Source organism: Homo sapiens, chromosome 2 (genome assembly GCF_000001405.40).
Source record: "Homo sapiens chromosome 2, GRCh38.p14 Primary Assembly".
Taxonomy (NCBI): Eukaryota; Metazoa; Chordata; class Mammalia; order Primates; family Hominidae; genus Homo; species Homo sapiens.
In genome coordinates this window covers 44,812,016-44,834,910 of record NC_000002.12, presented here as the reverse complement: position 1 = coordinate 44,834,910, position 22,895 = coordinate 44,812,016, and the positions used below count along the sequence as shown (strand labels likewise).

General features: G+C 46.1%; 1 long non-coding RNA gene across 1 annotated transcript, besides 1 other annotated feature; it reads right to left on the bottom strand.

Moving 5' to 3' along the window:
- Positions 1,125-1,234: an enhancer, noted in NCBI's record as "active region_15686". NCBI's record gives its function as "activates an Ori minimal core promoter by ATAC-STARR-seq in GM12878 lymphoblastoid cells {active_cell/tissue: GM12878}" and the evidence as "EXISTENCE:reporter gene assay evidence [ECO:0000049][PMID:35858748]".
- LOC105374573 (uncharacterized) lies at positions 12,204-17,939 on the bottom strand. Its single transcript, XR_940038.3, has 3 exons — positions 17,701-17,939; positions 17,412-17,574; positions 12,204-13,432 (listed from the first exon to the last, which is right to left on the bottom strand). It is a non-coding gene; the product is annotated as an uncharacterized LOC105374573 (long non-coding RNA).
- Positions 17,940-22,895: the final 4,956 nt, after the last annotated feature.

Below are 22,895 nucleotides of genomic sequence, written 5' to 3'. Positions count from 1 at the left end.
TTCACTGAGGAGGTAGTGCTGGACCCAAGGCTGAAAAATGAGTAGATGTTCACCAGCTGTCAGGGTATTAGGGGGCAGGGCAAGTTGTAGAAAGAGTCTGTGGGGAGGGAGGATTGGAAAAGATACTTAGAGAAGCAGCAATAACATGTAGCAAGGCCCAGAAGCATAGGAGAGTACAAGAAATTGGCAGGGGTCCTCAATGTTCAGTTGGGCTGTCTAGTGGGGTCTTCTAAAGAAAATACATTTATTAGATGAACTGTTCAGGTATGAGTTATTGCACTGTTGGCTGTGAATTCACTGTTAATGAGGCAACAATATATACTAAATATGGCATCTTGAAGCAAAACACACACAAAATAAGGTTATGTATTGATCTGTTGGTGAAAATGTGGCCAGAGGCTTGCAGGAACCTAACCCTATATTTCCCCTGGGAGCAATGGCTTAGTGTTTGCTAATTCAGCATTGGAGGCAACTTTATAGAACATAACTACTGCAAATAACAACAATAAACTACAAGAGGATAAAGTATTTGTGGAGTGAGATAGAGGCCCCAGGCACTTTGGAGTTAGAGTTCAAGTCCTCCAAAGCTTGCAGGAAATGACTTGGCATTAGCTACCACTTTAAATAAAGACACCAACTCTGTGGTGCCTTTGGAGACACTTACAAAAATGGTATTTATTGTTTTTTTTAAGAGTTTTTTTTCCTATAAAGGTCTTTAAAAGATAACGCCCAAGCTCTTGGCCACTGGTTCTGGTTATGGGCTCCATCTGGGTGAATCCCTACCCAGTATGTCCAGAACTAGAACCCAGCTTTGACTTGACCAGTTCCCTTCTCCCTTCCTGCCCTTTCTTGTCTCTCAGCCCAGGACCCAGTTCTCTGCCAATCTCTTTGCAGATGCCAATTGCTCATCTGCCCAGATTTCCATGTGGAACCTGCCCCTGATTTTGTTTAGTCCCTGCAACTGGCTGTGTCGCTCCAGTGCCTGTTCCACTTGATGGAGCATGTCCAGTGGCAGATTGCAACTCTCTCAAGTTGCCCCATCCTGCTACAATGGCTAAGATCATAGTTTGAGTCAGAGCTCAATGGTTGTGAGAAACAGAAACTTAAAGAAACAGATGATGACTAAAAGGACATGGAATCAGGTTACAGAAATAGAAATAAAGATATGCCTTTCAGAAACTAAAGCTGGTAATGGAGAAGCCACAAGAAGCCAAGAAGATTTCTTTCCCTCCTCCACCACCTCCCATATCTCTGTCTCTTTGCATTTCTCTTTCCTTCTTTCCATCCTCTTTCCCGCTTCTTCTCGCTTCCCATTTTTCCTCAACCTTGGCTTTTCTCGCCTGGTCTGCTTTATTCTCTTTGCAAACCATCTTGTTCCACTTCCTCTGGCCACCCTCTCCCCTCCAATTTTGTCTTGCATGTGGCTTGGGTTTTCCCTGTCATTAACTCTAACTCCCATTCTGTGAGGCCTTTCTCAAACGCCCACCACCAAATACTCTCATTTTGCATATGCAAGGGAGAATCTGATTGGCTGAACTCACCAACTTATATTAGCTTCTCTGAAATCAGGTGACCACCCCTGGTCCAATCAACTGCAGCTGGAGGGGAGGGGAAAATAACCTAAGGCAAGTCATGGCCATCTAAACCTGCCCCTGCAGAGGGACTGTGGGCAGAATTTAGTTCCCAGAAAAGGGGCCGGCCCTCCAAATATGTTATCTATGGCTATTTCATAACTAAGGCCATTTTCTGAAATAGGAGGGAGTCCTCTGGTTGGTTATTAGGGATCCTTATTAAATCATCTATATTGCTTATTGTCTAAAGGAGAGAGTGGGCAGGTCATTTATGAAACTTGATTTTGGGATTAGTTCTGTGTCCTGGGAACAAAATTTCATCCCTCTGGCCCAACCCCTCGTCTCCTCTCCTGTCTGATCTTCTCTTTCTCTCTCTCTTTTTTTTTTTTTTTTTTTTTTTTTTGAGATGGAGTTTGGCTCTGTTGCCCAGGCTAGAGTGCAGTGATGTGATCTTGGCTCACTGCAACCTCTGCCTCCTAGGTTCAAGCAATTCTTGTGCCTCAGCCTCCTGAGTAGCTGGGATTACAGGCACGTGCCAGCAAGCCTAACTAATTTTATTATTATTATTATTATTATTATTATTGTTATTATTGACGAGGTTTTGCCATGTTCGCCAGGCTGGTCGTGAGCTCCTGGTCTCAAGTTGCCCGCCTGCCTTGGTCTCCCAAAGTGCTGGGATTACAAGCGTGAGCCACCACGCCTAGGCCCTCACTGTCTTTCATCAGCACTTCAGGAAGTGTGACAAGACTGGCAACCAAGGACGATTGTCTCTTTGAGCAAGTTGAGGGTTTCCCAGGGAGTGGCTACAGAGTCCCTGCTGCACAGACAGGTCAACTAGGGAGATGGAGAGACAAGGCTGAGCAGATCTACAGGCAGGAAGAAGACGTTGGGAAGTTCTCTCCAAGTCAAGGCAGGTCAATCAGAAAAGCAGAGATTAGGGCTGGTCTGGACACAAGGTGGGATGAATGAGGGTGTCTCAAGGCTGACCTTCAGTCCTTTTCTTTCCATCAGCTGTGGCATTGCTGTTGAGCGAGGAAACTTGTCCCTCTCCTCCCATTGTTTCTGCCTCTGTCTGTATGGGGGACAGAACTTCTCTCAGCCCTCTTCCCCACTGGGGTGAGTGTTGCGAAACCATTCATGCTCCCATGTCCGGGCTCTCTCCCTACAGGGGGAGGAAAGACTGCCAGAGATGAACTGTCCCTCTACATGAGAGATTCATGACCACTTTGCTCATTCCTCTTTCACTCCCTGCCTTGCCTCTGCCTGACCATGGGGTTTGGGTAGCCCAGCTGGCTTATCTGCTCCACTTTGGAGGCATAGACAGGTTTACTGTCTTGGCTTGCTCTTTTTTTCTCTAGCAAATGTGCTTCAAATTGGCCTTTCCTAGCACCATATCCTTGGGTTCTGCGGAAAGAATAGGCAGAGATTTGGGGAAAAGGAGTAGCAGCTGACACTTTGATGGGAAGTCTAAGGCCGTGTTCTCCAGCCCTGCTTTTATCAGAGCCCTGTTTTGGGGGAAGCCAGTATTGGCCCAGAGTCTCTTCTTCTCCTATTTTTTATTTTTTTATTTTTTATTTTTTTGAGATGGAGTCTCGCTCTGTTGCCCAGGCTGACAATCTTGGCTCACTGCAACCTCCACCTCCTGGGTTCAAGTGATCCTTCTGCACAGGCCACCATGCCTGGCTAACTTTTGTATTTTTTGTAGAGATGGGGTTTCACCATGTTGGCCAGGCTCATCTCGAACTCCTGACGTCGTGATCTTCCCGCCTCGGCCTCCCAAAGTTCTGAGACTACAGGCATGAGCCACCGCACCCAGCCCAGGCCAGTGACTCTTAAAGCCACACTTTGTTTCACAATTGGTCACTAGTCCTTGGGCTGCTCTTTAGTCCATCAGAACCTCAGAAAGGAGGCATTTACTCTAATATGCTTGGGAGGCTTAGAATCTAAAGATGCAATATATGTGGAAAGGAACTATACATTTGTTCACCAATGATTTTATCCTGCACGTCCCCTAAATTATCACAAGTGAAAAGGTGAGATGCCTTAAAGACTTCTGTCTTGGTTTTTCCTTGGTGGATGAAAGAAAAGGTTAACAGGCACTGGGATCAAAATGTTTTGTTGTTGTATGCAAAAATTTTTTTTTAATGCTTGTCGGCTTCATCACAAGATTTTCTCTGCTGGAACATCAGACAAATTTAGTTTACGCCATTTATTCTCTATTTCCCTCCTGCTGTTCCCACATTTCCCCTACCCATGACCTGGGCAGCATGGTGAGAGCCTGGGAGGGCTTCCGGGCTTCCTCTGAAGGCAGGGGGACAAGTGATTCAGGGTCCCTGCCCTGGTGGACTTTTTCCATCTCTAGAGGAAAGGGGAGGATGGTTCTGAGCCCCTGAGGATTTTCTGGAATTGGGTTGGTCCCTCTACCAGAGCTGCCTGCACTGTGTAATGAGACTGTGTCTCCTGGTGGTCTTTCGGGAAGGTGGATTAAGCCTTGCCTTCCTGTGCTCAACAATGAGGAACAGCAGAGCTAGGAGCTGACCAGCAATAGACCCAGGTTTTCCCCAGCTTACCCTTTAAACACTGCACAAGTAAATATATCCTTATTATATAGAATGGGCATGCAAAAAGAAAAACAACCATCTGAAACCCTAGCATGTTGAATGGCCACGGTCAACATGTCATATGTATCCTTCAGACTGTTTTCATGCATATGTGTGATATTTATTTGTTTAAAACAAGAGGAATGACATCATGCAATGCTGTTTTGTAATTGGCCGTTTAAAATCCAACATGCTGTAAATATGCGTCCGTGTTAACACATATGGCACCACAGCATCATTCTGAATGGTTATCTACTACTCCAAGGCATGGTTATACCCTCAGTTACTAACCAACGCTATTGGTGGATGTCGAGAGCTTTCCCAGTGTTCTGATGCTGTGATAATCAACAATACAAAAGCACCCTTGTACATTCACTTTCAAATGCTGTTTGATTATTTCCTGTGAATATATTTTTGGAAATGCAGTTGTTGGGGGAAAGCATTGCCTGTTTAAGGCTTTTGTCATGTATTGCCAAATTAACCCCCACCAGAGTTTACCAATTCATACTTTTGCAGCAGTGTAAGAAGGCCTGTATTCTCATACCAGAGGCAATGTTTCATCTCTGCTTCCATGTAACAGTGGCTGAAGAATCACACACATATAAGAGGAGGTGGGTGTGGACGGGGAATCGACTCCAGCCCTAGCAAGTTATGGCTCTCCTCTGGACACGAATCTCCCTTGCAGAAGAATCAGATGCGTCCTATAACAAGTGAGTCCTCCTGCAACTTGGGCCCATGACCGAGGGCCTACCCCAGAGGCCTGGCCCCACTCTGAGGGCTTGGGATCCTACAGTGATCAAGGTTGGTCTCACCCAGTTTGCACCCCTGTCTCCTTCCCTGACTCTTCTGGCCAAAGTCCCTGTCGCCCTCTGGGGTAAGCCAAGGCTGGCCAGCCTGCAGCAAGAAGCAGTCGGAGAGAGAATTACTAACACCTACATCTCAGCAGCTTCCCCAGAGAGCCAGGTGCTTTTAAAACACCCTTGTGGCTCTCTCCTTGGGTCCCAGCTGGCTTCCATGGCAGGTTTATTGGAAGTTTGGAGCTTCCTTGTCAGTAAGTCAGAAAAAAAAATCTGTTAAATCACCCAGCAAGACACAGAGCTAATCAGAGACCCCAGAACCTAGAGCAGACGGAACGATGTGGAAAAGCAAATGGCCCCTACTGTTCCGTTGATCTGTTTCTCTCTTCATGCCGCTCTTTCTTATCTAGTGCCACAAAAAAACACTGTCTCTCTCCAGCTTGCAAGGAGGATAGCTTTCCCGCCAATCTACATATTATTGTCCACACAGCCTTGAGCCTCTGCAGAGAAGGCAGTTGGTTTATGGGAAATGGATTTTCAATCAGCCTCATTCCAGCCTTCTGAGGCTCTCCATCCACTCTCATTTGGTTCCTAATTCATTAATCTCCCCCCTCCACTTGCTTGATCCGATTATTCTTGGATATAATGTATTATTTTGCTCCTTTATGTACCACTGACTACTCATTTGATCATAGGTGCTCCTGTACCTTGTACCAGGAGATGTGAAGGGGCCGTTATGGAGCCTTCTCCACTCCTGGGGTCTTGCCTGAGTCTCGCGGATGCAGGTATGAAGCAGCACAAAGAGAAACAACAGTGGTGGAGAGGCATACGGTCTCACCGGGGTAAGGAAGTATCTCGTTTTCTAGCTCTTTTTTCATTACAGAGAAGTTTTCAAGCTTCCCCCAGCCATATCTTCGGAAAGTGCTGTAACTGTTAGCAGTATCTGTGGGGTCTCTGTTCTTCTGTTAGGATCATGCAGTGAAAAATCCGCAGAGGGAAGCTGCTTTGTCTACAGAACATGCAGCAAACACTTCACTTAGGACACGATGACCAAGAACTTTTCCAGAAAACTGGGCCAGCATTCAGCACAAGTTAAATGAGATTTGCTAAACTCCAGAGCTGGAAAGGACTTGAAGATTATTCTTGTCCAACTGTCTCATTTTATATTCCCTCCCTCCCTCCGTTCCTCCTTTTCTTTCTTCCCTTTTTTTTTTTTTCTTTGAGACAGAATCTCACTTGGTCACCCAGGCTGAAGTGCAGTGATGTGATCTCCGCTCACTGCAACCTCTGCCTCCCAGACCCAAGCGATCCTCCCACCTCAGCCTTCTGACCACAGACATGTGCCACCATGCCCAGCTAATTTTTGTATATTTTGTAGACATAGGGTTTCACTATGTTGCCCAGGCTTGTCTCCAACTGCTGAGCTCAAGCGACCTGCCCACCTCGGCCACCCAAAGTGCTGAGATTACAGGCATGAGCCAGGCAGTGAAAAAAATACTGGCCTTAAGGTCAGGCACATTGGTTCACGCCTGTAATCCTAGCACTTTGGGAGGCTGGGGCCGACGGATCCTTTGAGGTCAGGAGTTCAAGACCAGCCTGGCCAACATGGTGAAACCCTGTCTCTACTAAAAATACAAAAAACTAGCTGGGTGTGGTGGCACACATCTGTAATCCCAGCTACTCAGGAGGCTGAGGCAGGAGAATCGCTTAAACACAGGAGGCGGAGGTTGCGGTGAGCCAAGCTTGTGCCACTACTGCACTCCAGCCTGGGCGAAAAAGCAAGACTCCATCTAAAAAAAAAAAAAAAAAAAAAAAATTGGCCTTAGTGCAGAAACCAGGAGCTTGAGTACTGGCCATGTGAGTTTAGATGGGTCACTTGATCTCTGGTCTCAATTTCAGTATCTATAAAATAATGGTATTGAAACAGATGATCAACGACCCAGGCAAAAAAAGGGCAAAATCAAATTCTAGGAATGGACAGCACAATCATCTCCATTTTATACGTGGGGAAACTGAGTAATGCGGGTTGGCAGATAAGGTGCTAGGACCAGCCAATGTCAGTTTTCATATTGGTCCTGCTACCGATTGGCCCAGGAACTCAGGCAAAACACACATCTTCCAGTCTGGTGCTGTCCTGAGTCTTCTCCCATCATAGTATACGGGGAGGGTCCCAACAAGGCCATCTCTGTGCTTCACTGGAGGTGCTACAGAATCCCAGCCACCACTGGTACTTCTCAGGCTACACGGAGCTGGCACCTGGACAGTGGTTCAAATCTCCTGATTCTCAGCCTTTAGCCTCCCTGTCTGAGATTCTCCAATGGCCCAGCGGTCTAGGATGCAGACCAGGGTTAGAGAAAGAATAAAACGGAAGGAAGCTACAAAGTGAGAAGAAACTTTTGGAATCTTTGAAGGGTGGAAGAGTTATTTCCAGAGTTCACTAGAACAGCAGTTCCCAAAGTGTGGTTTGGAGACCCCTGGGTGGGGGTGGGGGCCTGAGATCAAAATTATTTTCATAGTAATACTAAGATATTATTTGTTTTTTTCACTTTCATTCTCTCAGGAGTATACACTGGTGTTTTCCAGAAGCTACGCAATGTGCAATATGACGAAAGACCGACTACAGAAGCAGGTAGAAGAATCCAGCTGTCTTCTATTAAGCCAGACACTGAAGAGATTTGCAAAAGTGCAAAACAATGCCACTCTTCTCATTGATTTTTTCTTTTTTTTTTTTTTTGCTGTGGAAAATATAGTCATTTTTCATAAATACATGCTATTTGTACTAACACGTAATGGGCTTATTTGGCTATTCTTGGTGTAAATAAATACACATTTTAAATATTCTTAGTTTTACTTTCTAATGCAGTAAATATCAACAGATATAGCCCATAAAAACAAAGTTCTTTATTTTATTTTATTGAGTTCTCAATAATTTTTAAGAGTGAAAACGTGTTCTGAAACCTAAAAGTTTGAGAATATTTTCATGGGAACATAATATTATTTGCTTGCCAGGAGTCAGTGCCCCTTCACCCTACCCACTCAATTTTCATCTCTCTGTTATTCCTGGGGCCTGTGTTTGTGAATTTTGGGATTACTCTTAGCTCCAGATAATCCATAAAGTGTGGCTCCCAGCGGCCCTCAGCACTGGCATGCTAATGCAGGCAGACCAGCTGTGTGCAGAAGGGAGCTTAGCGAGGGTCCCTGGGCATCCTCCCCACAATATCCAGCAGGCCTTTCCTATTTCTTCTTTGTAGAGGCCTGTGAGTCTCTCTTATCACCTCAGAAATTACTTGTTTCATTCCACACAACTTGGCCAATCCAGCAACCAGGACTTCTCAGCTCACAGACCCTTTTTCCAAAGAAAGAGTTGAGGGAAGTTTTCTTCAGGATTAACTGAATCCCAATTTTCACTCTCCCTTGGAGATGGTGGGGAGAGTGGGAGAGAAGGAGTGAGGGAAAAGGGGATGCCCTTCTCAGAAAGCCGCCACTGGGGTGAGGGGCCTGGCGCTGCCAACCCCCACTCCACCTCCGCTCAATGACACAAACCCCAGAACCCTGGAAACCATCTGACCCAGGAAACTGTCTTAAGGCCCAGACTGAAGCATGGTTTGTCTGAGCTGGTGTTGCCATGAAGAGGTGGAATGACTTGCTGCCAGTATCAAATCAAGGAAAGCATTTCAAGGCCTGGAGGGTCGAGTCACAGAGGGATTGAGATTTGTCTGGAGGGCAGAAGGTAGAAGGAAGGACTCGATGGTAGAAATGCTACCACCCACATAAATAATAATAATAGTAAATGTTTATGATTAGCGCAAGCCCACTCACGCACTTCCCACAACAACCTAGGGAAGCAGGTACATGATTATCTCCCCTTTAGAGATAAGGATGCTGAAACTCAGCAAGTTGAAGTAATTTGCCACCTAGGAAGGGGTGGGGCTGGATTCTGGCTCCAGAACCCTCGCTCTGCAGAGCAGCTGTTTAGAGAATAAGTGCTCTGGGCGAGGCCTCAATAGGCAGTTGGTTCTCTTTGTTAATTATTGCCACAGGGCAAGGAAATAGAGCAACTCTTCTGAAAGCCACATAAACCGATTGTCAAACGTCAGCTTCACACCTCATGCTGTCACAGTGGAGTTCATTTCCCAAGCAGTGCACCCAGGGGACACACCAGGAAGAGTGGGGCGTCTGGGCAAACATTCTCAAATTCTTTTTTGGCAGAATTGGTGGGGGTGGGGGTGGATATCTGGTTACGTCTGCGTTAAACATTTTTCAGGCTAGACTGTCTTGGAGTAGACCCCAGATGCCTCCATCACCGTATATTTGTGCGATGGAGCCAACTCCACACGCTTCCCAAAGACAAACCTGGTGGAGCCGTGAGACCCCCTGGGCTCCTCTTGAGAGGGGGTGGGATGGCAGTCTAGAGAGGCAAGCCCCCAATCTCCTGAGCTTCCACAAGGGTGCAGCCATGCCTGCTCCCAACTTGACTGTCTTATCTTACAAGGGGAAGAAGATATTGGTGACCTCCCAGGTGCCTGCCAGGCAGCACACCCTTCAGCTTACCACTCCTCTGCCTTTGTGGCAAGCTCAGCCAAAAGGAGGGATATACTGTTTGTACTTGCTTTAAGGATGCATGTCCTCTTTACTCTTTCAGGGGTTCAAAAGTCCACCCCTGGGCCAGGCTAGCTCAGCAGAGAGCTGGGGGTCTGCCCTACAGGAGTCGGGCTTTAGGGATTGAACCTTGCCGGATACCATTCAAATAAACTGGTCACTGGTCGGTGGCAAGGCTGTCAAGGGGAGGCTGTTCATGACATCACACAGCAGCAGAACCAAAGGTGGTCCCCACCTGAGCCTTTCTTACAAACAAGTTTAGGTGAAGAGATATACAAATGCAGATTCCTAACAAACAGCCCCGTCCTCCATGCACACATACTCCTGAACGCCCAGTGGTTGGCTTATACACCCTCCTGTGTGGACATTCTAGAGCTGCCACTGCTTCTAGGGTTCTTAGTACTAGGGTAGCTGGGTTCCCAAAGCCTGGATCTGTTTCCACACTGAAGACACTCATGACCAGACCTTGGGAATTATACAACTGACCTGGTTCCTTCCTTTATATTGGCTGTTAGAAAGCTTAGAGACAGGGCCAGGCACAGTGGCTCATGCCTGTAATCCTAGCACTTTGGGAGGCTGAAGCGGGCAGATCACTTGAGCCCAGGAGTTCAAGACTAGCCTGGGCAGCATGGCAAAACCCTGTCTCTACCAAAAATACAAAAAATTAGCCAGGCATGATGGCGTGTGACTGTAGTTCCAGGTACTCAGGAGGCCGAGGCAGGAGGATAGCTTGAGCCCAGGAGATGGAGATTGAAGTGAGGTGACATTGCACCATGGCACTCCAGCCTGGGCGACAGAGTGAGACTCTGTCTCAAAAAAGCAAAACAAACAAAAAAACAGCTTAGAGAAAAATGAGTGGCTCCCTAGAGCAAAGAAACACAGCCTTGAGATATTTGTTCAAATCTTTTTGTATTTCTTTCCCTTTTTTTTTTCAAACTGGAGAAACTTTTCAAATTCCAATATACAAAATAATACTATACTTGATCCCTGCCATACAAAATGGACAACTGTTACTATTTTATTTGCTTCAAACCCATAAAACATTACATGAAGTTGAACGCCATCTGTCTCCCTCTAAAACTGTTCCACCACACCCCTACCACCCCAGCAGCAACCACTATTGAGTTTGCTTCTAATATTTCTTTTTAAAATAACAAATATTTATATGTGCTTATAGAAATCTGTGGTTAGATTTTTTCTATGAGTTGTATACATGATCACAGTATGCATTATTTTGCAATTGCTTTTTATTAATAATGTAACAATGTGTTTTGTTTTGTTTCTTTCCCACTCTTTATATGTATTCTCTGTTGTATTTTGTGGTTTCTTTTTTTTCTTTTTTTTTTTTCGAGACAGAGTGCCACTCTTGTTGCCCAGGCTGGAGTGCAATGGCACAATCTTGGCTCACTGCAACCTCCACCTCTCCACCTCCCAAGTTCAAGCAATTCTCCTGCCTCAGCCTTCCAAGTAGCTGGGATTACAGGCAAGTACCCCCACACCTGGCTAACTTTTGCATTTTTAGTAGAGATGGGGGTTTTACCATGTTGGCCAGGCTGGTCTCAAACCCCTGACCTCAGGTGATCCACCCGCCTCAGCCTCCCAAACTGCTGGGATTACAGGCACGAGCCACCACGCCCGGCCTGTGGTTTCTTATTAGCCACCCTATATCCTTTTTGGAACAAGGCAGAGTTCAAAAGGAATTAATAAAATAATAGTTTTTGGATGTGATAGTTGTCATAAGAAAGATCTATTAATCTGCTATCCATCTTCATGAAAGCCTAAAACAAACAAACAAAAACAAGTCAATGTTGCAGCAGTAGAGACTTGAGCTAGATTTCAGGAAGCCTCCCCTATAATGGATGGCTTTGCCTCTATTTTACCTGGAGTCAAGGGAATGCATGAAGTCAACTGATTCATTAGATTTTAAATCAAAGAACAAATACTGGCCTGGAGCTGATAGACCAGCTATGAGACTAAATGCTGGGGAAGATACAAGTGGTCTAGAAGGGGCCTTCTGGGGTTCTACCATCTTGTTGGGGAGATAAGGCTGATCATGGGTAAGACAGTGCAGAAGCAGGTGGGCAATGTGCTCGAGAGGTTAAGGGCACAGAGTCCAATTGCCCAGGTTTGAATCTTTAGTCTGCACTTCCCAGCTTTATGAGTTTACTTTGGGCCTCTATTTCTTCATCCATAAAATGGGAATACAAGGTTATGTGAAAATTAAAAGTACTAAAATATATAAAGCTCTGAATAGAATGTCTCGCACTTGGTAAGGACTACATGATGTGTCTTTTAAGTAAAAATAAGTGTTATTTGAATGGCAGATATCATAAGCTGGAATGATCTAGAAATAGCTTTGAGATGGAGATGATTAGAAATGGCTTTACAGAGCAGGTGTCAGAGAGAGCATGATCAAAGGCCTGCACAATTTGGATCTCTTGGCAGAGGAGAACTTCACCAACACTTGCCCAAAAAGTTATGTGTGGGGCACAGTGAGGAAACAAGTCAATCAAGACACAAAGAGAAATGCAGAATCTAAGATGAATGGGTGCAGGGAGTAGGGCTTGATATCAAGACCAAGAGTTCAGGATTTATCCTGTAAGAAATAGGGAGCCAATGAAGGTTCTGTGTGGCAGTGACATGTCACAGGGAAATGTATTAATCAGGATAGGTTGTGGAACAAACACTCCTCCCCCATTTCTCAGTACTAAGCCAACAAAATTTATTTCTTGCTCAGGTTACAGGTCCTCTGCCTGTCGGCTGAGCCTTTGCCCCATTTAGTTTCAGTCTGGGGAATCTATCTCGAACAGCATTGTCCAATCTTTTGGCTTCCCTGGGTCACATTGGAAGAAGAAGAATTGTCTTGGGCCACACAAAATATGCTAACACTAACGAGAGCTGATGAGGGAAAAGAAAAAAAAAATCACACACACACAAAAATCTCATAATGTGTTAAGAAAGTTTATGAATTTGTGTTGGGCTGCATTCAAAGCTGGTCACAGGTGGCCAGCCAGCCGCAGGTTGGACAAGTTGGATCTAGAATATTGCTGTGCTATTATTGCAAAGGGACAAAAAGCATATGGCAAACCATGTGCCCCTGGCTCTTAAAGCTTCCGCCTGGAAGGGACACGTACTGCATTGGCCAAAGCAAGTCAGAGAGCCAAGCGGGCTGTCAGTGGGGCTGGGATGTATGTCTTCCCCAGGCAGGGGCAGCAAATATTTGTGAACAATAATGTAACCTACCCTAGGGCATTTTAGGACCCTGCCTAAGATTACCGCACAGCTTTCTGCTATGATATCCCCTCAGCCCACTAACATTGTTTATCACTCATTATTACAAATTTTTCTTTAGACCTTGATGCTTTAGAATTTGCCTTGAAATCAACATGGATCTCACCCCCACCTCAGGAAGTCTCCATTAGCTGATTAAAAGGAAAGAGTTCTTCTAAGACCTGTTTTTTTTTCCCCAAGCTTGAGAAATGAATATAATGTTTCTGTTTTTGAGTTACTCAGGCATCTTGGTTGAGGTGAGCCTCTGTGGTTCTCCAGTTTGCCTAGTTTTATAATTTTGTAGCCTGCTGCGATTTCTGGCCTATTGATTAATGGGTCTCTCTCTCTCTCCACCACCAGCGACCTTAATCTTTTCTTAATTGCTTTAATGGCTGTTCGGCTTCCCTCTCGTGCCTTCCCCCACAATGTTGTTGTTGCTAAGCTTTTGTGTCTTAACTTCATTCTCCAACCGAGGACTTTGCAGGCGAGTGAAAGGTGAATTCTCTCTTTGTTTACCCTTTTTTCCTTGTTTTTCTCTTTTGCTTTATTTCTTCTTCAGCTGTTTTCACATTTCTTAGCCAGTATGGGGCATTGTCTGAGGTAATTGGGCAAAAACAGAAAAATAAACAAAAATATAATGAGGGGAGGTCAAGGACAAGGTCTCCCCTCAACCCCCCCAAGTGACCCCTGCACCTACTACATCCGCATCCAGTCTGGTCACTGCGCCTCCCTCTCTCTCTCTCCTGCCCCTCCAAGGCCAGCAGCTCCTCCCCCAGGCAGAGGGTGTCCAAGGTCTTCCTGGAAGCCAGACTGGGATGGGCTGACTTTCACCTGACCTGGTTTGGGGCTGTCTCCTTCATTAGGAATAACTTCTCAGAGCTTCTTCAAATATGCTTTATTCGTTTCTTCCTTCATCGGTTTATTTGCAAAGACTTATTGAACGCTTACAGTGTGCCCGGCATGCCAAGTACCATGGGAAAGAACAAATGAAGCTCAGGCCTTGAGCTGCAGTCACGCACAGGTCAAACTAGCAGAGGGGAAAGAGTACGGAACCCAGCAATGCATCAGGAGCTTTCGAGAGCTCCGAATAGCAAATACTGTGGGAGTTCTGAGGTGAGAGGCCACTGTGGGCTAAGAATCGGGGCAGGCTTCCTAGAGGAGGTGGGCTTTTAAATAGGCCTTAAAAGATGGATAGAACAAAGGAGACAAAAGAGAAGGCATTTCTGGAAGTGAGAGGCACATGGGTGCCGGGGAGAGTAAGGGCTTAGGGGCAGGAGCACTGACTCCCATCTGCCCTGGGCCTGGCCATCATGGCCTTCGAGGTAGGGTGTGGTGGGAGGAGAGCTTTGTATGTACACCATGCCCAGGGTCTGTGTGCACTGGCAGGAGCCCCCTTTCCCGTTTGGTTCCCCACTCTTCTGAGAGGACAAGGATGATAGGAATGGTTGGTGGGTGCTATTTTGAGGGGAAGACAAGGAGGAGGAAATACTCTTTCAATGAGGACTCAGAAAACAAAATTTCTGGAAGCTTCCTGGGTGGCTCCACAAAGTCTAAAAGGACCCATATGGAGCCCATGCCTCTGCACGACCCTAGGCCATTGTCTTCACACCAGGCCTGTTGAGATGTCAAGGTTACGTTTAGGCATCTTGACATATTCTGTTTGCCAGCATCTTATGTTGCCTTTTTTTTTTTTTTTTCAAGACGGAGTTTCACTCTTGTCACCCAGACTGTAATACAGTGGCACAATCTCAGCTCACTGCAACCTCCACCTCCTGGATTCAAGCAATTCTCCTGCTTCAGCCTCCCAAGTAGCTGGGATTACAGGCGCCCACCACCATGCCCAGCTAATTTTTGTATTTTCAGTAGAGATGGGTTTTCACCATGTTGGCCAGGCTGGTCTCGAACTCCTGACCTCAGGTGATCCACTTGCCTCGGCCTCTGAAAGTGCTGGAATTACAGGCATGAGCCACCGCACCTGGCTGTTGCATTGTCTTCTGATGGACCCTATGGTGTCAGTGAACCCTGGGGGCAGGCCTGAGTCTTCTTCTGTACATGAATGGACAGAACCCAGGAAACTGCTGAGGACTGCCTGAGCAAAACTGCTTGACACCAGCAGGGCCTGTGGGGAACACTGGGTCCCAGGGACTCACTTCTACTCTTGTTTATAAACTCTCAGATGAGACACAAAGAGAAAGACCATTAATTGAATACTTATGTCAATAAATTAAGGGAGACATAAGGTGTGTGGTTATGAGTTTATCTCTGGGGTCTGATGGACTTGAGTTCAAATCTAACCCTTGAAATCTGCCTCTTCCCAGCTGGGTGATCTTAAGAGGTTATTTAATCTCTTTTTTCTTAAAATGTCTCAGTTTATTGACAAAATATTTCAGAGAACTATGTAACAAGTATTTATATATAATCTTTACATTTATATATGAGGTACTCATGTATTTTCCACTAGCATTAAAGACATAAACATTGCATTATAGTTACTTCCTATCACCCTTTTTTGAAAGAAGAATTGAAAGGTTAACAATTAGCTAAAACAATCCTCTTCTCTTCCCCTTCCTTCCTCTCCAAAGGTAACCAGTTTCTTGAAGTTGGTGTTTATTATTCCAGTGCATTTTGAAAAACACTTACTGAATATGTGAGTATCTATAATAAAACCAGGGGTCCCCAACTCCCAGGCCACGGACCAGTACCAGTCCATGGCCTATTAGGAATTGGAGTACACAGTTCATACATGAGTATCATACATGCAAGAGGTAAGTGGCGGGTGAGTAAGTGAGGCTTCATCTGTATTTATAGCCACTCCCCATTGCCCACATTACCACCTGAGCTCTGCCTCCTGTCAAATCAGTGTCGGCATTAAATTCTCATAGGAGCTCAAACCCTATTGTGAACTGTGCATTCGAGGGATCTAGGTTGCACACTCCTTATGAGAATCTAATGCCTGATGATCTGTCACTGTCTCCCACCACCCCCAGATGGGACCGTCTAGTTGCAGGAAAACAAGCTCAGGGCTCCCACTGATTCTACATCATGGTGAGTTGTATAGTTATTTCATTATCTATTACAATGTCATAATAATAGAAATAAAGTGCAAAATAAATATAATGTGCTGGAATCATCCCCCCACCCCCTGGTCCATGGAAAAATTGTCTTCCACGAAACCAGTCCCTGGTGCCAAAAAGGTTGGGGGAACCTCTGTATAAAAATATATGCTGCTTTCACAGGCTTAAAGTTTTATATGATGGGTACCATATTTTACAGATCCTTTTGAAAATTCCTTTTCTATTGGACTGTAGATCATTTCCTTGTGGATTTGTAGGGGTTCTTTTAAGCCCCAGTTTCCTCATCTGTGAATGGGAGTACTAACAATCCCTGCATCACAGAGTTGCTGTAAGGATTAATGTAAATGAGTATCCTACATGCAAGTGTTTTGGGCCCTATCACACAGAGTAAGGATAAGCAGAAAATCAACTTCCACAGAATTCCTCTCGGTGAGAGCCTTGTGCCTGCTTGGAGGAAATCTGCTAGATGACATCAAAAGGCTAGATGACATCAAAAGGCTAGATGACATCAAGAGGAGGGTGAGGCAGGAAAGGAAAACTCAAGAGCAAAAGCTGGCTGCTAACTGGCTGCAGAGTGTGAAGTGCCAGATTTGCATCACCACTGCGAGGGAGCAGGAGAGAGAGGCTGCCCACCACATGCAGAAGGGGGAAGAGTTAATAAAGAGAGAAAAAGCAATAAAGAAACCTCAGAGTGACAATGGAGGAAACATAAGTCTCCTAGAGTTTTGAGGTTGGTTGCAAAGTAAGTGGTATCACTGTTTCTCGTAATGCAGTCTCCACTACTCACAAATGGTGCTAGGAAAAGCCTCTTTGGGGACTGTGAGAGGTGCCAGGGTGTGCACTTGGGTTGGGATGAAAACAGACAGCACCTGTGCACATAAATCCCTGAGTTGGAGTGGAGAGCTGTCAGCTCAAAAGCTGTTTGCTGGTTTAATGACATCAACCCCATAATTGGCCTTTTCTTTTTCTATTACTTCACTTAATCCTAGCAGTGGCCTCATGAGGCCTTACTATCATTTCCATATTACTTAAGGGACATGAAGCTCAAATAAGTAAAGTTACTTTTCTAGGATCATGCAGGCAGTAAATAGGGAGGCAAAGATTGTGTCTGGGTGTGTCAGACTCTAAAACTTCTGTTCTTGGAGAGAGAGATTGGGGGAAGGGAAACAGGAAGAAAAAGACAGGAGGCAGGGAAAGGAGCAGGAGATGGTGGGGGTGAGGGGCAAGGATAGAAACTATTGCTTATCTTCACGGCAGCCTCATGTTGAAGGAAAGGAAGGCCAAGCAGGGCCCTGGAATTCCAAGTTACTCACAGCTAGAGTTGCCAAATTCAGCAAATGACAATACAGGATACCCACTTAAATGCAAATTTTTGATAAACAGCAATAATTATGTTCTATGCAATATGTGGGACATACTTATACTAGAAATTCACTTGCTGTTGATCTGAGATTCAAGTTTAATGGCGCCTCCTGCATTTAATCTGGCAAATCTACTCACAGGGCATCCCAGGCCAAGCGCAGGAAGAGACGAGCAGCAGCATCTGGAATAAGGCACCACAGCAGATCCTTCCTAATGCTTGGATGTCACAGCTCACAGCTCACACATCCTGGGTAGCGACGGCCTCCTTTCAGAGCAGCCTCCCCTCAACCTCCTGAGTGAACTGGCCAAGCATGGCAGAAAAGAGAAGTGTCCGGAAACTGTAGGCAATGCCGTGCACACAGCATCTCTGCTACCCACCAGGGCCTTGAGGGACAGATGGACAAATTGGGAGAATGGAAAAGTTTACCTCTGGAAAGTTTCACTTCCCATTTCTTCATCCTTCTCCCTTCTTCCAGCACGCACTCTCCAAGCCAGGTTCCCTGAGAGTCCAGGCTGCTCTGGTCCTGCCAAAGCATTTGATAAAATAGTCCACAAGAGGTTGCAGTGATTCAATGTGGGGCTCCTCCTGGAGAGCCTGCAATGGAGAGGAAGAGCCCCAGGAGGGATATGTTTCAGCCAAAGGCATAAAACTCAGATGGTAACATTGATGAGTGCTGGAGGGAAATTGGGAACAGAAGGGCTCTTTTGGTACCCCCCTCCCCTCAAATATCAACTATGAACCACCTACAGTCCATCTGCCCTATAATGCCAGCCCTGCCTGAATGAATCAATAAATCAACACAGTGATGTAGCATCAACTCAACACGCTATTCCAGGCTGATTCAAACCTACTGGGGTTGTCCTGCTTCGGGCTGCTTCCTCCTGCCCTGGGGGGCTCTTGAAGGGCTGAAAAGCTCTCTTTGTACAGACATCACCAGCACTGAACACCTGAGAGGGTCCCTAGCCCCTCTGGTTCTCACTTCTGTTCTCCTCCTGTCCTTAAGTGGTTTCCCACACTAAGAGCAGACTCAGAGGCCAGCTCCCAGAGAAGGGGGCTCTAGACCAGCGTCTCCACATTTACCCCGTCCTTGGCTTGCTGTGGCTACCCCAGAGTGTCAGGCCGGCCACCCAACTGTCCCACATCTCAACAACCTCCGTGTGCTGTTTCCATGACAACCGAAGGCATCGCTGTCCTTCTACATCTATAACACAAATCCCCACACACAGTGTTTTATCCCCACGCCCAGGATTCTCACTAAGACCCTCTTATGGTCCCGTGGAGCATATGCACGCTCTGCCTAACAGACCCCCTTCCTGTCAGCTTCTAAGAATTTTATTGCCAGGAGTGGTGGCTCACACCCGTGATCCCATCACTTAGGGAGGCTGAGGTGGGTGGATCACCTGAGGTCAGGAGTTTGAGACCAGCCTGGCCAACATGGTGAAACCCCATCTCTACTAATAATAAAAAATTAGCTGGGCATGGTGGCGCCCACCTGTAATCCCAGCTACTCAGGAGGCTGAAGCAGGAGAATCACTGGAACCCGGGAGGCAGACGTTGCAGTGAGCCAAGATCATGCCACTGCACTCCAGCCTGGGTGACAGAACGCGACACCATCTCAAAAAAAAAAAAAAAAAAAAAAAGAATTTTATTAATACTCCCATATTTACTCAAAGACATCCATGGAAGGCCTTCTCTTTAAAGGTTATTTCTTTAAAAATGTGTGGTAAAAGTTAAAAATGAACAGGGTGTGGGCAATTACAAAAATCCTGGGTAGCACTGAAGCTGTGATAGGAGCTTCAGAGATGTGAGGGAGAACTTGGCCCAAAGGCCTGTATGTGGAGATGTGATTATTCTTCAAGCAGGAGTTAATGGGGAGGCAGATCTCCAAATATTTCGTACACAGATTATGGCCAATTATCAGATTATACAAGAGGCCAGCACACTGGCTCCCCTCTGGCCATCCTCACATCATCAACGCACAAGTGGCAAGGAATAAGGGGACCTGGGAGAGAGGCCCGGGCTGAGGGGAATGAGGAGTGGAGACCTCAGGGAGTGATCTGCTCCCTTCCTCAGCCCCCTGCCTCCTCTCCAGTTCCACTCACAGCAGCATCCTGAGGGGCCACACTCTACCTCACCCAGGTGGCCCCCCAGTCACAGACGTGGCTTGCTCACAGCCCCCCTCCATACCAGCCAGACCTTCTGTCCCATAGGCCACCAGCAAAGCCACTCCTGATACTAATTTGGAATGAACATAACATTCCACAAAGGGAAGAGGATGGAGAAGTTGGGATTATAAAACCTCATCATCTGATTTCTTAGACCTTTGCAAAATAATCACATTTTGTTGATCCGGTCAGAGAGGGTCCTGGCTGGGAAGGGAAGTCCAGGAAGAGGACAGGGGTTGTCTTTTGGATTCAGGCTTCTGGAGGACTGAGACCTGGTCCATTCTTTGGCCCTTCCTGAGGGTTCAGAAGTCTCTCGATGATTCCTGTGTGTCTACCAGGAGGCCCCTCCTAATGGGGCAAGGGCTGTGGGGCTTAACAGTCCCCACAGAACCTACCCTGCCTTCTCCCCTCTTAGTGATCTTCCCTCTTCCTCTCTGCCCCTTCCTTGTTGACTGGTTAACCAGGGGGCAGCTCACATGTCAGGTCTTCTATATAATCCGATAAGTGGTTGTAATCAGGGGGTGAAATCTCCATGGATGTCCTTTTTGGGTCTCTCGTGATAGCAAAATTAGTTTTTTCGGTCACAGATTCTAAACCCAACCTAGGGCTACTTTACCCCAGATGACTCTCCCCTCCAGAGATGGGATGGAATGGGATATCCGGTGATGAGTTCCCCATTGAGTGCTCTGTTTCAGCCTCAGCCCTGGTGTTTGGGACATTTAGGGATTTTGTGACAAGTCCCACAGGGCAGGCTGATTTCTCTGGACTGCCTTGCCCCACATCAGTCAGGTCCCACCAGGTCCCCTCAAATGAGTGACAGCCCAAGTATAGCTGGGATTTTAAGTTATAAGGCAAATTCCATTTCCTGGTTCCAGAGGGGAGCAGAGCTCTCACAGAATAACTCAACCTTCACGGCACCACTGTACATCCTGGCCTTCCCCCACCCCCTGCATGGCTCTGGAAGGGCATTCTCCACCTTGTTCACTTTGTACCTATTCCAACTCTACTTTGGATGATACCTGTCTTCCTAAATATGCAAAATGCCAGACCCTCTTGCAGTTCCTGCCGTGCCCCCTCACCCTGGCCAGATGACAGTGGGAGATTGTCCTCTACACTTGGAGCACAAGGGAAACTGAGGCCCTGGAAGAATGCAGACTTCTCAGTCCCTTAGCCCAGGAACTTTCTAAGATCAAGATATCAAGTTTGGATGTTAAATAACAGGGACATCCCCAGGTTGTGTGATCTCTCTGCCCTTTCCCCACCCCATCACTCTCTGGGTGGGACCCCAAACTTCTGAAAGTGCTCTGAGTTGCAGAGCAGCTGCAGTATCTGCTGGATCCGTGCTCTTGGCCACTCCATTCGCCTGGCTGCTGTTCACAAGGCCCTGGGTGAGCCACCGCCACCTTCTTTCCACCACTCCCTGACCCCAAATGTGTGACTTTTCACTAGCCCAGCTGCTTCTAAGTCTGAAAAGCTAATGTTTAAAAAATAAAGTCCCCAAATCAGCAGACGCATAAGTAATTGCATCCTGGCAATATTAAATTAGACGAGTTAGAAAAGCAGCAGGGAAGGGTGATCATTCACTACTTAGGAGGATACTCCCTGAGTAAACACCAATGCAAGAGTCTTATTTCCTCCCTTGGGTCATCCTGACAACCCTTTCTGCCACCACCCTGAGTCTCAGCCCCCTAGATCCCCAGCCCCCAAAGACACCAACCTGGTCAAAGCAACAGTGACTGTACACCTCACCTAGATTCCTTCACCTCCTTCCTTCCCAGATGTCTGAGACATATGTGGTGAGAAGAACTGATCCCAGGGGTCTCGGGTGAACTTGAGAGGACCCTCAGGGAGATTAGGCAGCGTCTCTAGCCAGTGCCACAATTTAAAACAGGCTTATGGGGGAACCGAGTCAGGATTCTAATTAAGTCTTGGTCAGGAAGTTCTGGATTATAGAACAGACAAGCCCAAAAGATCTTGCAGAAATTGGAGTGTAATAAATTCCACATGTCAGAATAGTAGTGAGTGGAGGGGGATCCCTGTGTGTCAGCCTTCAGGGAATGTCCCAAATAGCCACAAGCAGGCACCTTCCCAGCGTGAATGGCTTGGGCGCCAGAATTAGCCAAAGGCATGGCAGACACTATTTTGACACCAGAGCAGAGCTATCTGGGAGGCAGCAGAAACTGCAATTTCAAATGGGAATTAAATCACTGCAGGTGTAGGATTATTTTCCATTTAGGAGAAAATGCCCCCCCATTTGCATTTTGTAAATTAAAAAGTAGTTAGCAATTCAGCTTTGGAAAGCCAGTTTCCTATTCGTCCTCAGCAGTTCTGAGGATTTTGGTGACGTGACAGTAAGTAATACGTACCTAGTGATTAGGGCTGCCAGTTTAGCAAATAAAAATACAGGATGCCCAGTTAAATTTGAATTTCAGATAAACAATGAATAAGTTTTTCATATAAGCATGTATTATACTAAAGAAAATTATTCATCAGTTATCTGAAATTCAAGTTTAACTGGGAGTCCTGTATTCTCTCTGATAACCTTCCCACTGATGGTGGAGGTCACTGCCAATGCAAAGACATCAGCTCCACCTCTGTGTCTGGGGCAGAACAGAAAGGTGCCATGAAGCCCTCTGGGGCATTCCTCCCTCTTTTCACCTCCCTCTCCATAAAGAACCCACTCATTCACTTATTCATTCAACTGACATTTATTGCGAGCCTATTATGTATCAGCCCTTGCACAGTATGGGAGAGACAATCATGACATAGCCCCTGTCCTTGAGGTTGGCAGCCTGGCGAGGGAGTCAAGACACATTCATAATCATGGTGACTTAAGGGTTACTCTAGCATTGGGATAAAGCAATGAGGGAACACTATACGGTAGCATGCAGCCTTGGAAAACTTATGGTAGCACAGTCACACAATTTTACTTTGAGGTAAAGTCCCCATCAATGTGTTCTGTGACTCATAAAGTCACTGAACCTCTCTGAGCCTCACTTGCTTCACCTGAGTAAAGGTGATGTTAATGACAGTACTTGTCAAACAGGCTTGTTCTGAGAAGCCAATGGACCAGCCAGCACTTGGTAAACCATAAGGTGCCATGTGAATGTGAACTATCGTTCACTCTCAAAATGATTATTGTTTGGAAGCTCCTCAAAAAGTTAAATATAGAATTACCATATGATGGAGCAATTCCACTCCTAGGTATATACCCAAAAGAACAGAAAACAGGGATTCAAATTTGTATACCAATGTTAATAGTAGCATTACTCACAACAGCCAAAAGGTGGAAACAACCCAAATGTCCAGCACATATGAATGAACATACAATATGTAGTACATACACACAAAGGAATATTATTCAGCCTTAAAAAAGAATGAAACTCTGACATATGCTACATGACAAACCTTGAAGACATTATGCTAAGTGAAATACATGGCCAGATGTTGTGGCTT